Source organism: Homo sapiens, chromosome 6 (assembly GCF_000001405.40).
Source record: "Homo sapiens chromosome 6, GRCh38.p14 Primary Assembly".
NCBI classification, from domain to species: domain Eukaryota; kingdom Metazoa; phylum Chordata; class Mammalia; order Primates; family Hominidae; genus Homo; species Homo sapiens.
In genome coordinates this window covers 26,083,175-26,099,062 of record NC_000006.12, presented here as the reverse complement: position 1 = coordinate 26,099,062, position 15,888 = coordinate 26,083,175, and the positions used below count along the sequence as shown (strand labels likewise).

Below are 15,888 nucleotides of genomic sequence, written 5' to 3'. Positions count from 1 at the left end.
AATACAAAAAAAATTAGCCGTGCATGGTGGCATGCGCCTGTAGTCTCAGCCACTTGGGAGGCTGAGGCAGGAAAATTGCTTGAACCCAGGAGGCAGAGGTTGCAGTGAGCCGAGATCATGCCACTGCATTCCAGCCTGGGTGATAGAGTGAGACTCCATCTCGAGAAAAAAAAAAAAATTCTGTATGAACTGAACAAAATATCCTTAAATTTTAAAATACATCTGAAAGATATTTCAAAATATTTAGGAAAAAAATTATAGGGATCAGGCAAATTCTGAGATTCCTTTTTCCCTGCAGCAAACATTAGGAGTGCTGCTGTTCCTAAAAACATGGTAACTGTTGCCACACCGTATGTTTCCTTGGCTCAGACATAAGGTTGTGTAGTTGTTATTCCAGAATAGCTAGAATAAAAATCCAGCACATCATTTTCTTCAGCAAGTTAACTAACCTCTCTGTGCCTTGGTTTCATAACAGCAACATAAGCATAACAGAATAGCAGCAATAGCTCCTACCTACCTCATAAGATTCTTTGGAGGAATTAAATTAAGATTCAGAACACAGCCTAATATCTAGTAAGTAATAATAATTGGCTAAAAAAATTTTCTTAAGATTATATATATTCATGGGGTACAAGTACAATTTTGCTACATTAATATATTGCATTGTGGTGAAATCAGGGCCTTCAATCCATCCCGGAAAAAAAAAGTTTTTGAAAAGATTTCTGCCATGGAAAACTTTTAATGTACAAATTCATCCATCCAAGAAATAGAAAATATATAAGTATCAACTCCAAATCCACCATATCTATCTCTTCTACACCTTAAACAATTACTCAGAAATAGAATGCTTGAGATACCAGAATGCATGCATATCAAGTAATAAATGCATGCAGGATGTCAACGCATCCTAGGCTTTCAAATAAAATTGTCATACAAAATACTTTAATATTGTAGTAACATTCTACATGTTAGAGTGTAGAAGTTAATCGCTGATGCAAAAAAGGAAAAGAACACATTATACCCAAAGCCTACAGAGAGAATCACAATTACAAATATCAGCCTGCATGTGAAAATCTTTAATTTGAAAGTCAGAAATATTTAAATGATAGTCATTGTTAAATCAGATTGTGGTTTGAAAAAAAGTTAGTTTAAAACTGAGTTTATGAAAAATTTGGGGATTTTAGAGACAGTGTTTTGTTTTTAAATGTGTGTGAGTTTGTGAAGAATGTTTTATAAAATACTGACAGTATTATAAGATGACATTATTATAATACAACATAAGAATTTTGGCCTGTACCTCTCAGCAGTCCTCAATCACCTGCTGTACTTGACTCAATGATTATCAGAGTGGTTTGTTTTCCTTCTGTTGTGTTCCCAGTTCAGGCAGCTCAGCAATGGCCTGTGATTCCAGCAATTCAAATAGCTGGTAAGTAGTTTCTTGTTTGTTTTCTCAAATTTTCAGGGGCTTTTCTCTACAAGTGATTTCCAGTGCACGCCCCTCCACCCATTCTTTATTCCTTTACCTTCAGGAAAACCCTCAGCGCTGCATCTCTGGTCACCGGACCACCGTGGTACATTTACCTATGGCCACCAGGTGTCACCCTTCTCTTTACTACCATGGTTTGTGAATGGTTTTGCCAGAGGTGAATAAGAATTTAAAATGCAGGTCTTTGATTTTTCAAATGTAGTTGACCTTAAGAATTTATGAATAAAGCCAGAAAAATTAAGCTTAAAAAACACCGAAAGAAAATGAGGACTTAAAATTTCTATTAAAAAAATTAACAGGCCACAGTTGCTGATGTTTAGTAAATGTGTTAGTGAAATGTGTTACTGTGAAGACTGGGGTGTTTCTTGAAATCTCAGCCCAGGTGAAATAAAACCAATATAAAACAAATGCTTACCTAATAAATTAATTGTAACATATTCCTTATGAGGTAGAAGAGTAAGTGAAGCCTTATAGCAGTCTGCTTTCAGTATAGTAAGATATTAAGAGAGAAATAATTTGTCATATGCTTTCAGAATGGTTTGCTGGTAAAATAACCAATGTCTTACAACTTAGACGACAATGTCCCTAGAGTGAAGAAACACGATTAATTCGGCTACCACAGTTGAATGAAAATATTCCGTAAGACAAAATGTAAAGAAATTAGAAGCAAAATAAATGTCTCCAAAATGACAAAGCGATTAAGTATATACACAAGATGAACAAGAACTTCAATAAAATCATGCAGTATACAATACAATATACATTTATTAAAGTATATGCATTTTTAATGCAACAATAATACTAACAGGTAATAGACAAGTTGTTAATAGTTTTTCACTGGCTAATTAAATAACAGCTTTAATTGTATTCATTTTATAGCTTTTCTACAATGAGCGTAAATCACATTTACTTTTTTCTACATAACTTTTCTAACCACAAAAAAAGAAAATGGTTTAAAAGAAGAGATGAGATATCTTTGCTAAAATTTAATGCCTAAAGAAGAAACTTCTGAGCTGTATATGGTATCCTGAAGCACCTGCCCTTCAAGACAGAATGCTTGTACCACATTTATGCAGCCAAGTGCATGTAGTAACATAAAGTAAACACATGCCATCTGGATATATATATTAAGACTCTTTTGACGGCTGGGCAGGGTGGCTCACACCTGTAATCTCAGCACTTTGGGAGGCCGAGGCAGGCGGATCACGAGGTCAGGAGAGTTCGAGACCAGCCTGGCCAACATGGTGAAACCCTGTCTCTACTAAAAATACAAAAATTAGCCGGGCATGGTGGTGCACGCCTGTAATCCCAGCTACTTGGGAGGCTGAGACAGGAGAATCGCTTGAACCTGGGAGGCAGAGGTTACAGTGAGCCGAGATCATGCCATTGCACTCCAGCCTGGGCAATAGAGTCTCAAAAAAAAAAAAAAGACTCTTTTGAACATGGTGAACTGATTTCCCAGAATCTAGCAATTCCTGAATGTCCTGGTTAGATTTTTTTTTTAATGTGCACCGGAACCCCAGTGGCTCCATGGAAGGACCTGGGCATCCTCTAAGCCACTTGGTGGCTTCCATTATACCATCTCAAAATGAGAGAGCTTACTCCACTTCATTGAGGGAAATACCACCAGAGTTCTGACTCCAGAGGCACTGGCCTAGGGAGGACACCGTGTGTGAAGCCCAGCAGGGCCACTAGCTGTCCCCACCAATTACAGTCCTTGCGTAGGGTCCAAAGAAATGAATGCCAAAGAGAGCAACAGAGGAGCAAGGGAGTCACATTCCAGGACCTTCCTTCAGGGACTTTTAAAGGAAACATGACAGCTGAGGATCAGTTGGTTGTTTTCTGCTGTTCCCCTTCATGTGATTCAAGCTCACTCAGAAGAAACACAATGAGACAAGAGAAGAGCCATCTCCTTCCTTCTCTATTTATTCTAGGCATCTAAACTACTGAATGTAGTGGTGTCTGAGATGTATCAAACGGTCAGATTGACTGAGTTTGAAACCTGTTTCTATCACTGACAAACTATGAGATACTCTATACTTCACTTTCTTTTTTTTTTCATTTTTTTATTTTTATTTTTATTTTTTTGAGATGGAGTCTCACTCTGTCACCTAGGCTGGAGTGCAGTGGCGCAAACTCGGCTCACTGCAAGCTCTGCCTCCTGGGTTCATGCCATTCTCCTGCCTCAGCCTTCCGAGTAGCTGGGACTACAGGCGTCTGCCACCACGCCCAGCTAATTTTTTGTATTTTTATTAGAGATGGGGTTTCACCATGTTAGCCAGGATGGTCTCGATCTCCTGACCTCGTGATCCACCCGCTTTGGCCTCCCAAAGTGCTGGGATTACAGGCGTGAGCCACCGTGCCCGGCCTACTTCACTTTCTTCATTTAAAAAAGAAATGGGGATAATAGTACCTATCTCATAGAATTATTGTAAGAAGTGCATGCAGTAATGCATGTAAGTAGGTGCTCAGAAGAGTCGGACACGAAGTAAGTGCTTTTATCATCCTTATCATAATTTTCATTATCAGAACAAGGAGAGACCAGGTAGAAAATTATTGTGATTCTTCAGGTCTGGAATACTAGAGTAGCATCCCAAATGAAGGCACCATTAAACTTTGCAAATCTGTATGACACCTTCATGCCAATTAGAAAAAACACCTCTTCACAACCCCTTTCAAGATATTTGCCTCCTACCTGCTAAAAACACCCATCATACTACCCACAGATAGCCATGATGCTTTTTCTGGGACAGGTGCCTCTTCCATTCGTGCAGTGTACAGCCTTCATAGCTGTGCAACTCACATCACAATCAGATGGAAGAATCCCCAAGGCTTGGTGACAGATGAGTTACTGGGTAACACAGAGAGAGGATTCAAAGGAAAAGTTGAACGGGTCCAGAAAATGCATAGATACATGTGTAAAAATCTGGTAAGGTTATGACTAGCCACGTCCCAGGGTTCAAAGCTTTTCTCAGATGTTAAAATGAATCATGTAAGTCCCCCAAATTTAAGGAGTCCTCTTCCAAAAATAGGAAATGAAATGACATAGGTGTATGTCTCTGAGGTGACGGAGGAAATGAAGGAAGCCTCTAGATGCAGCTTGAGGTTCATGAGAGACAGTTCCAGGGGAGAGGTCACAGCTAGGGATCACCGGCATGCAGGAACTCAGAAACCTAAATGGGGAAATCTTTTTGAGGAAATGAACAGAGAAGGCTAAAATCAAGGAGTTCGTCAGGCAATTTCTATGTTTAGGTTCAACTCTCTCCTGAAACATGAAGAGCTCATAAATGCACTCCCTCTTTGAGTCTCTAGTTTTGTCTCCTTCCCACAGTGAGTCTGCAGGCTGCGTGTCACTCACGTTCAGCTAAGACGTAGTGCCCCATGGCTCCTCCTGTGGAGACAAGAGACCCAGGAAAGAGGCATCACAAACCTAGGCACCATCTTGCCTCTTCTCTCTTCCTTATTTTCCTCATTCACCCATCTCAATTTAGACCTGGGCACTATTGGATTTCAAGAACCATTATCTCTCATCTGGAAATGCTTATTGGCTTTCTAACTGGTCTCCTCACCTCTCATCTAACTTCTTAACAACACATTCACCATATAAGGGAGATCGTGGTCCTCCTTTCTTAGGATCCTTCAATGACACCCCAGTGATCATAACCCAATATCCCAAAAGACCCTTGGACTCTGTATGAGCTGGCTTCTTTCTGATTCTCTTTTCCCTACACCACAGATGTTCAGGGGGTAGAAATGCATAATTGGTGAGTGATAGCTACGCAAACTCAGGGTTAAGGTACAGTAATTATTTCTAATCTCCCAGTATGCCTTATACTCTCCTACTTGGCATGGTTGCTCCGTCTGTGTAGACCTCCCATCATCTTCAACCTCACCTAATGGAATCCAGCTTCTCCTTCAAGATCCAGAAGGCTATCTTGATCCCCAGCTGAATGTGATCATTCTTTCCTTTGACACCCTAAGCATTTGCTTCCTGCCTGCTTTAGGACCTCATGGGGTCTTCTTTAACTACATTTACTTGCTATCAATTTCATTCCCTACCAGATTTGGGTTCTGAGAATAGCCACAGTGACTTCTCAACCTCAAAGCCCCTGTACTACCTTAAACAGCTCTTGCAAAATAGTAGGTGCTCTGAAGATGTTTGTTGAATTAGAGACTTTCATTCTGGGGAGAACCATTATTTTCTGTCTCCCAGGGAGCTGCTGGTGTCCCCAAAGAATATAAATGAGAAAAATGCTTCCCATGGATGCCAGATCCCCTCTGCCCCTCTTCCCACTGTGCCCTGGGGCAGAGGTACTAAGAGACTTCCCCCTTGTTCCTACTCACTTGAACCCTGCCTCTTCCTTAATATTATGAACAAAATTCCAATGAACAAGATGACGACAAAAACAGCAATTCCACTGATGACTCCAATGACTAGGGTGCCAGACGGTGAGGGCTCTAAAACAGAAAAAGCAAGTTAAAGCCTTTGATTGCCACCCTCAGCCCACCCCCTAACAAAGAGCAGATCCTCATCTCACTGCCATAATTACCTCCTCAGGCACTCCTCTCAACCCCCAATAGATTTTCTCAGCTCCTGGCTCTCATCAGTCACATACCCCAGATCACAATGAGGGGCTGATCCAGGCCTGGGTGCTCCACCTGGCACGTATATCTCTGCTCTTCCCCAGGGGGTACAGCCAAGGTTATCCAGCCCTGGTAGGTCCCATCCCCATTGGGCAATACGTCTTTAGGTTCGAACTCCTTGGCATCCATTGGCTGCTTATCCTTCAGCCACTTCATGGTGATGTTCTGGGGGTAGTAGTTCAAGGCCCGACACCGTAGAGTGGTCACTGAAGAGGTCACATGATGTGTCACCTTCACCAAAGGAGGCACTTGACAGGAAAGAGGAAGGATGAGGAGAGGGGATCTGTTTACCCTTGCCAGGAAGACTGGAACTTTCACTTCCTTCTATAGGTTGGAGGAAGGAAATACCCTTTTCAGAAAAAAACAAGCTACAGGAGAGACACCATTTTGTGTCCTAAGATTGGACTCTAACACAGTGTCACTTGGAGAGCAGTCAGATCAGCTTGTTCTCCTCACATGTAAATATACATATCTGTTACCCATGTTCTTTGTTCTGATAGATAAAATTGCCCTTTATGTGCATTGAAAATGATTGAATACAGATGGTCAGTTTCACCTGGGTCAACCTAGGAGGCATTGTTATAAGAAGCGGACTTGTAAGATAGGTAGCTTCAGTGATTATTGCTATGTTCTATGAAAGAAACTTTTAACCTAAAGGATTCTTCTACTCTGATAAGTGGCCTCACTTGATATTTTGTCCTGGTATTCATATGATAGCTGAGATCTCTGAATTCTCTTTTTTTTTTTTTTTTTTTTTTTAAGATGGAGTCTCACTCTGCTGCCTAGGCTGGAGTGCAGTGGCGCGATCTTGGCTCAGTGCAACTTCCGCTTCCCAGGTTCAAGCGATGCTCCTGCCTCAGCCTTCCAATTAGCTGGGACTACAGGTGCGCATGACTGTGACCAGCTAATTTTTGTATTTTTTTAGAGACGGGTTTCACCATGTTGGTCAGGCTGGTCTCAAACTCCTGACCTTGTGACCACCCGCCTCGGCCTCCCAAAGTGCTGGGATTACAGGGGTGAGCCACCGTGCCCGGCCTTGACATTTCTGAATTTTTAACAGGTATAAATATACAAAAGATTATTGGTTAAATAAAAAGCAAGGGCCATAGACACTTCCCTTTGAGCCATATGCATGGAGAAAAGAAATTAAACCCATGACTTGTGGCTGTCTCATACATCTCAATTATAAGGTAGAGACTCTAGGATTGAGAAAGTCCCTTCCCAGAATTTGGAGAGGCACACAGCCTCAGCCACCTCTGAAACTCCAACCAGGGATTCCGTGCCCTGCAACCTCCTCCACTCTGCCACTAGAGTATAGGGGCAGAAGTGTGTTTCCACCATACCTTGTTGGTCCAAAACACCTCTCCCCAGCTCCAGCAACTGCTGCAGCTGTGCAGGGCAGTCCCTCTCCAGGTAGGCCCTGTTCTGCCTGGCCCGAATCTTGTGCCTTTCCCACTCCAGCTTGGTGGGCCAGGCCCTGGGTTCTGCTGCTCTCCAATCCAGTGTGTCAGGGCAGAATTCAAGGTGGTCCTGCCCATCATACCCGTACTTCCAGTAGCCCTCGGTACTGTTGTCTTCTTGCATTTCACAGCCCAGGATGACCTGCAGGGTGTGGGACTCTGGAAAAATCCCCAGCCTTGTTAACTGCAACCAAAGGAATAGGTCCCTATTTCCACCATCCCCAAGGACCAAATGATCTCAGGAAGCAAATTCCTTCCCTCTTCCCTGCTCCCACAAGACCTCAGACTTCCAGCTGTTTCCTTCAAGATGCATGAAAAGATGAAAAGCTCTGACAACCTCAGGAAGGTGAGGCCCCCTCTCCACATACCCTTGCTGTGGTTGTGATTTTCCATAATAGTCCAGAAGTCAACAGTGAACATGTGATCCCACCCTTTCAGACTCTGACTCAGCTGCAGCCACATCTGGCTTGAAATTCTACTGGAAACCCATGGAGTTCGGGGCTCCACACGGCGACTCTCATGATCATAGAACACGAACAGCTGGTCATCCACGTAGCCCAAAGCTTCAAACAAGGAAAGACCAAGGTCCTGCTCTGAGGCACCCATGAAGAGGTAGTGCAGAGAGTGTGAACCTGGAGACAGAGCAACAGGCCTTAACCATGTGTAGTAGGAGGGGAGCAGGATGTTGAGGCTCCACACACCTGCATCAACTCATACCATCAGCTGTGTCTGGTCCTCATTTTGTGAAGGGTGAGTTGCAGTCCTGTCTTTCTTCCATATGACAGTCCTGGGTGCTCTTTCCTTGTGTGCTTTTCTCTGCCACACGTGGCTGCCACCCCCTCACTGCCCCCAGATCCTATTCCAATACTCATGATTAGACAGACTCCACTAAAGCTGGTGGATTCTAGAAAATGTTAAGGTGTGTCTAGCCATGGTAGTTGAACTCAGGAGTTGGTGCTCAGGGCAAATTAGACCCAAATCCTGAGGAATAATTCCTTCAGTTTTTTTTTTTTTTTTTTTTTTTTTTTTTGAGACAGAGTCTCACTCTATCACCCAGGCTGGAGTGCAGTGGCACAATCTCAGCTCACTGCAACCTGCACCTCCTGGGTTCAAGGGATTCTCCTACCTAAGCCTCCTGAAAACCTGGGACTATAGGCGTGCGCCACCACACCAGGCTAATTTTTGTATTTTTAGTAGACATGGGGTTTCACCATGTTGGCCAAGCTTGTCTCAAACTCCTGACCTCAAATGATCTACCTGCCTCAGCCACCAAAGTGCTGGGATTACAGAAGTGAGCCACCGTGCCCAGCCTTGGTCCTGAATTCTTACACTGAACTGCCTATGTGGCCTCACCACTTGGAAGCCTGACTGGAATCTCAAACTTAACATGTCCAAATGCAGATCCTTGATTTACCCCAAACTGCTCTTTCCTCTGCCTTCACCATCTCAGAAATGGCATTGCCAATTACCCCACTGCTCAGGCCAATAAAATTAAAATAAAGAACAAAGTCAACTTTAACTCTTCTCTTTTTCAGGGGGTCAGGGGAGACAGGGTCTTGCTCTGTCACCTAGGCTGAAGTACAGTGGCACAGTCATGGCTCACTGCAGCCTCAACTTCCTGGGCTCAAGCAATACCCTCCACCTCAGCCTCCCGAGTAGCTAGGATCACAGGTGCATGCCACCACACCCAGCTAATTTTTGTATTTTTTGTAGAGAAGGGGTTTTGCTGTGTTGCCCAGGCTGGTCTTGAACTCCTGAGCTCAGGAATCTGCTCTCCTTGGCCTCCTCCTTGGCATGAGCTACTACACCCAGCCAATTCTTCTCTTTCTCTCACACAACATAGAATCCTTCAGCAACTTCCTTCAGAATATATTCAGGAGACAATGGTTTGTCACTCCCTTTTCTGTTCCCACCCAGCCCACTCCACTACCTCTTGCCTGGACTGTGTAACAGCTTCCTGGCTGGGCTCCCTGCTTTTACTGTTGCTCCCTTCATTCTGCTTTCCACATAGCAGCCAGAGCAATCTTTTAAAAGCCTGTGACAGATCACTGTTACTCCTTGGCTAGAATTCACACCACAGCCTACAGGCGCCTGCACAACCTTGTTTGTGGCTCCTCTTCTGAGCCCATTACCTACTTCTTGGCCTCTACTCCCCAGCACTACTTGTTTATTTTTTTCAACCCGAGCTTCTTAACCAGGAGTTTGTCTACTAGGTGACATGTGGCAAAGTTTAGAGACATTTTTGGTTGTCAAGACTGGGGGAGTGCTCCTAGCACCTAGTGAGTAGGGAGGACAGGATACTGCTAGACATCCTACATGCAGATGGTAGTCCCCCTTCCCACCCCCACGCCGCCCCCCCCCCCCACACACACACACATGAGTAGTGCTGAGAAAACCCGCTTTTTAATCCAACTTGCCAGGCCCACTCAGTTTGCCTGGGAAATACTGCTCCCAGTCAATATCATTCTTATTTCCTTCATGTCTCTGCTCAAGTGTCAGCCCCAGAGTGACTTGCCCTGACTTCTCTGCTTCTCACAACACCCATGATTTCCTGATGTTGTATATCTTTCTGCTCATTTGCTTATTGTCATCTCTCCCACTAGAATGCAAAATATCAAAGGGTAAAGACTTGTTTCCCTGCTCTCTCCCTTGGGGCTTGAACAGTGCAACACATGGCTGGGACTCATTTACACTTGTAAACAATGAATATTTCTGCTCAACATGAAATTTTATTATTCAACCTCTAATGCAGTGTGATGTTTAAGAATCATAGCTATGAAGTGGAGACATGAGCTCTGCCACCAAAGCCCAGTGTACCATTGAATAAATTTGCCAGGAAGCAGGCCGTGCCATGCCTCATTCTTGTCATGTGTAAAATGTGGATACACGTAGTACCAAAACTCAAAGTGCTGTGCTGAGGCCGGCGTGTGACCCACAGAACACTGTGCTACACTACAGGGCAAAATCACTGTCAACTAAGATTAGAAGCAGCTGTAGTACTTGAAATAACATCAGAAAACCAGATTATTTATGTTCTTTGTAACCTGAAAAGAGTTATATAATCTGAATTCCAGTTAACTTCTAGTAAAATAAACGTATTATTAGCTCCTACCTCCCTATGCCTAGTGAAAATCAAATAAGATCAGATATGAATGTAACTTAGAAGTGAGTGCATTGCTTACATGTTCATTATCAGTACTTTGTAGAGAGGCCTCTTAATTACACAGCACATTGCAAATCAATAAAGCCTAGCCGAAAAGAGAATTGTTCAGTTCAAACGTTCAAAACTAACATATACTTAATTTTCCAGGCAAAAGAACAATTGCCAAGAGTGGGGAAAGGCCCGAGGTAGGCCTCTCTCAGGAGCCTCCCACCCTAGAGACCTCCACCCCAGGTCTCACCAAAAGTGGGTGGAATGGTGAAGAATTCAGATCCCCAACGCCACTCTTTCGCGCCCCCACCGCCCAACGCATTCGTTCTGAGGTGGAAACCCCGTGCGGATCCTGCTGTGGGTTTGCTCAGCCTTCTCGGCAAGCACTCAGGGAAGAACTTCCTGTTTGGAGATGACTGGGGAAAAAACTGCACAGCTGACATTGGAAATAAACCCGAGTTCCAGGTTCAAGGAGCCCCAGGCTTAGCTCAGCTCAAGTGAGGAACTACGAGATTTATTTAAAAGCATTCTAGTTGGGGGAAGGGAGTGGGCGGTTCCAAAAGTCACTCCGCAGAGCCGGGACAGCCGGGGGAGGGGGCAGGTCCTGGGGCGAGGGACCCCTATCTGCAGTTCAGTGGTAGGCACTCCCTCACGGGGTCTGGACGCAGAAAGTAGGGAGAGGGGCTTGCGGATAGGGTTGAGCAGGTCCTCCAAAGTTAGCAAACTCCCAAGCGCAAAGAAAAAGCTAGTTTCGATTTTTCCACCCCCGCCGCGCCCCTAGTTCGCCCGCAGCCCTCGGACTCACGCAGCAAGCGCCCCTGCAGGACCGCGGTCTGCAAAAGCATCAGGAGGAGAAGCGCCGGCCTGGCTCGCGGGCCCATTTCCCCAGCTCTGGCCGCACGTCCCCGTTAAATCTCCGCTTCTTTTGGGGGGCGGGGAAACGGGGATGGCTCCAGAAGTCACCCTACAGCTATTGCCTAGGCTCAGGAGATGCCCAGTAAAACTTCCTGGTGAAAAGCAACAGGTCTTTCAGAACTTTAGTTCTCTCTCTCCTACAGCAGAAGGTACCTGCTTGTGAAACACTAGGTGATCCAGTGTCCCCCTTGGTTTTTAAATCCTGAAGGGGTGTTGTTGATTGGGGAAAGTAGCTTCGCAATGTTCTGATCTGAACTTTAGATATTTAAATATTTATGATTTTCAAAATTCAATCATACATTTAAAAATTTTATCTCAACCTTAGACCAACTTATGTCTTATTTGACTTAGAAATATAAAGCTTTTTCATTTTGTTTTTTGATTCAAATTAATTAAGTCATAACATTAACCAATTAGATCCTACTGAAACACCTTCCACAGCCTTCATAATTGAATTATCTGACAAGTGTTTCACAAACTTTACAGTATTGGGATTATCTGGAGAATGATTAAACATATTGAGGCCTGCTCCTAACCCCAGACACACTGATTTAATGGGTAATTGTTAGGTAGTTAGACATTAGCAGTTGGGAGGGGATGACAGAAGAGAGCGGAAAGGCTGTCACTAAGACAGCCACTGGCCCACCTAAATTCAGGCCCAAGACTACCCTAATGCCACCCTAAGGGATGGAGTTTATGATAAAGTCTGTGGCCAAAATATCCTGGAGAAAGAGAAAGGAGGGTACAGGTGGAAATTCCCTAAGGTGGCACATGCCCAACAACACAAAAGCCTGTCTTCAAGTTCACCCCAAGTTCATCATGCCATCATTATAATAGAATTTACATACAGTTTTGCCCCCCCATCCCTGGGAGGCTTTTCTTAACAAATTATAGGTAAGACCATGCACAGTTTAATTTTAGATTGTATAGCTATACACTTCAATCAAATAACATCATCCTGTCACTCAGATACAGCCCAAACCTCAACTCCTCCCCACAAACCCCATAAAAGCACCTTGAGCTCTGTAAAGAAGTGCTGAGTTCACTTCGCAGAAATAAGCCCGCTGTCCCTCAGAGTGTATTATTGTGCTTCAATAAACTTTGCTTTAAGCTTGCATTTTGGTGTTAGTTTGTAGTTCTTTGCTCACTATCACAAGAACTGAGATTGCTGGTTCAGAGCTCCGGCTATAATAATCTCCTCGGTTAAAGGATCCATCCCAATGCATAATTCCCAGTAACAGTATGGGATGCCACCTGGGCAATGGGATTTTAAAAGCTTTCCTTCTCCCTCAACGAAGTTTGGGAATTATTGCCTTAGACATTTCAAACAATATTAATAAATTTAATACACCTGATTTGCTCCAAACCTTTACATATCTAGCAAATTCAACAGGCATTATTTTTGTAAGCATGTATGCAAATTTTGGCAATTCAAGAAAATCAAACAGGATATCAGGGCCTCGACTGTAGGCAAACAGATACAATAACATTGGAAACATGTAGAATATTGATGATGGGCACATTGGGGCTGATAGTACTATTCCTTTTTTTCAATTTTTGGTAAGATATAATTAGCATACCATATAATTCATCTATGTAAAATGCAAAAATTGGCCCGGCTCAGTGGCTCACGCTTGTAATCCCAGCACTTTGGGCGGCCGAGGAAGGCAGATCACCTGAGATCAGGGGTTCGAGACCAGCCTGGCCAACATGGTGAAACCCCGTCTTTACTAAAAATACAAAAATTAGCCGGGCGTGATAGCAGGCAACTGTAATCCCAGCTACATTAGAGGCTGAGGCAGGAGAATCGCTTGAACCCGGGAGGCGTAGGTTGCAGTGAGCTAAGATCGTGCCATCACACTCCAGCATGGGAGACAAGAGCAAGACTTCATCTCAAAAAAAAAAAATTAGCTGGGTGTGGTGGCATGCACCTGTAATTCCAGCTACTCGGGAAGCTGAGACAGGAGAATCGCTTGAACCTGGGAGGCGGAGGTTGTGGTGAGCCGAGATCATGCCATTGCACTCCAGCCTGGGCAACAAGAGCGAAACTCCGTCTCAAAAATAAAATAAATAAAATAAAATGCAAAAATTAATGGATTTTAGTATATTTACAGAGATGTGCAACCATTACCAAAATTTTACATTTCTATCTCCCCAAAAAGAAACCATGTTCCCCTAATTCAGTACCCTTAATTCATCGCCTCCCAGATTCCTCCATTCTCCTCCTCCTCCCCTCCCAGCCCTAGACAATCTTTAATCTACTTTCTTTCTATTTGGAACATTTAGTATACATAGAGGCATATAATATATTGCTTTGCCGTGACTGGCTTCTTTCATTTAGCATAATGTTTTTATGTATGTTTTTCATGGACCAATAATATCTATTATAAGGACATACCACAACATATTTTATTTATTCATTCATCAGCCGATGGACATTGGTTTGTTTCTACTTTATGGCTATTGGGAATAGTGCTGTTATAAACATTTATGTACAAGTTTTTTTGTAGACTTATGTTTTGATTTCTTTTGGTTATATATCTAGAAGTGGGTTTGCTGGGTCATATGGTAACACTGTTTAACCTTTTGAGGAATTGCCACATTCTTTTCCAAAGTAAGCATTTTATCCTCCTATCAGCAGTGTATGAGAGTTCTGATTTCTCTCCATCTTTGCCTGGGTTTTTGAATCAGGGCCCCAGATAGAACAAAAATGTGGTTATTCAGTTGTTCCACCATCACTTGTTGAGAAGACTCTTTTTTCATTGAAGTGTTTTGGCACCCTTATCAAAAATCAATCTACCATAAATGTGAGAGTTTATTTCTGGAGTCTCAATTTTATCCCATTATGCTATAATCTATAATCCTATCTTTTTTTTTTTTTGACAGAGCCTCACTCTATTGCCCAGGTTGGAGTGCAGTGGCCCAATCCCGGCCACTGGCTCCTCCTCCCAGGTTCAAGCAATTCTCCTGCCTCAGCCTCCCAAGCAGCTGGGATTACAGGTACCTGCCACCATGCCTGGTTAATTTTTGTATTTTTAGTAGAGACGGGGTTTCACCATGTTGGTCAGGCTGGTCTGGAACTCCTGACCTCAGGTGATCTGCCCACCTCAGCCTCCCAAAGTGCTGGGATTACAGGCATGAGCCACCACACCCAGACTATAATCCTATCTTTATGTCAGGACTACACTGTCTTGATTACTATAGCTTTTTAGTAAATTGAATTCAAGAAGTTTCTCAACTTCAAATTTGATCTTTTTTTGGAAGACTATATTAGCTATTCTCAGTCTGCTGAATTTCCCTAGGAATTTTAGGATCTATTATCAATGTCTATTCTATTTTTGTATATGTTTTAATATTTTCATAAGAAACTTTTTTCATTTAAACTTTTTTTTTTAAGAAAAATAGTGAAAATCAGAACACTGGGGGTCAGGCGCATTTAACAGGCAGAAGAAGAATAAAAACTTGTCATATAAACAAAAAAGAAATGACCAATCACATTGTGGAAGCCATGGAGTGGTTATAGGTGCCAAAGGCTGCAGAGAAATGGTGTCAGATATACCTGAAAATTGTCCATTGTATTTGGCCATTAAGAGACTTAGAAGACTTAAGCCATAGATTGCTCAGTGAGACCCCGAGGGCAAATGGTCTGAAGGTGAATAGATCATTTCACCTTTAAGAGAGCAGGTAGGAAGCTATAAATCCAAGATTAAAAAGTTGACTGAACTGTTAAGGAAGAAACTCTAATCTTGAGCCACCCTATCCTGGCTCCACCTTCTGCTGCAAGCAAACAGAAATGCTGAAATTCAACACTCACAAAGGCTGGTAAGCTGGAAATGACAAAAATTACTCCTGGGAAAGTCAGATTTAGAATTAGGCCATATTTGTTGGGGTTCAGATTTTCATGTACACTTGGGAAAGGGTTTAGCTTATAGGCACATGCATGAAGGGAACTGGTATAGGGCTGTGTTCATAAGGTCAAGAGTTGAAGGCCAGGCATGGAGGCTCTTGCCTGTAATCCCAGCACTTTGGGAGGCCGAGGCAGGAGGATGGCTTGAGCCCAGGAATTCAAGACCAGCCTGGGAAACATAGGGAGATGCTGTCTTCACAAAACAATTAAAAAATAAAATTAGTCAGGTGTGGTGGCACACACTTGTGGTCCCAGCCACTCAGGAGGTTGGGAAGATCACTTAAGCCTGGGACATTGAGGCTGTAGTCAGCCATGATAGTGCTAC

General features: G+C 43.3%; 1 protein-coding gene and 1 non-coding gene across 15 annotated transcripts; one reads left to right on the top strand and one right to left on the bottom strand.

The window, feature by feature from the left end:
- Window positions 720–11,634, bottom strand: HFE (homeostatic iron regulator). 14 transcript variants are annotated; one of them, NM_001406751.1, is made up of 7 exons: window positions 11,547–11,634; window positions 7,959–8,222; window positions 7,474–7,749; window positions 6,422–6,454; window positions 6,103–6,336; window positions 5,831–5,944; window positions 720–4,877 (listed from the first exon to the last, which is right to left on the bottom strand). In NM_001406751.1, the coding sequence occupies exons 1-7, from the start codon at window positions 11,620–11,622 to the stop codon at window positions 4,837–4,839; spliced, it is 1,038 nt and encodes a 345-aa protein (NP_001393680.1). In that variant the 5' UTR covers window positions 11,623–11,634; the 3' UTR covers window positions 720–4,836. The 14 variants fall into 14 exon arrangements, 13 of the variants coding, with proteins under 13 accessions (NP_001393680.1, NP_001371093.1, NP_000401.1 ...); NM_001384164.1 differs by lacking the exon at window positions 6,422–6,454 and having other exon boundaries at window positions 720–4,659; window positions 4,845–4,877; window positions 6,103–6,378; NM_000410.4 differs by lacking the exon at window positions 6,422–6,454 and having other exon boundaries at window positions 6,103–6,378.
- Window positions 8,029–12,773, top strand: HFE-AS1 (HFE antisense RNA 1). The gene is made up of 2 exons (NR_144383.1): window positions 8,029–8,340; window positions 10,901–12,773.

Excerpts from the sequence above, each read along its gene's own strand:
- HFE (NM_000410.4), bottom strand. The coding sequence starts at position 11,622 with ATGGGCCCGCGAGCCAGGCCGGCGCTTCTCCTCCTGATGCTTTTGCAG. Across the intron at positions 6,379-7,473 it reads AGGTGTTTTGGACCAACAAG|TGCCTCCTTTGGTGAAGGTG; the intron begins GTATGGTGGAAA and ends TTTCCTGTCAAG. Across the intron at positions 4,878-5,830 it reads AAGGAAGAGGCAGGGTTCAA|GAGGAGCCATGGGGCACTAC; the intron begins GTGAGTAGGAAC and ends TTGTCTCCACAG.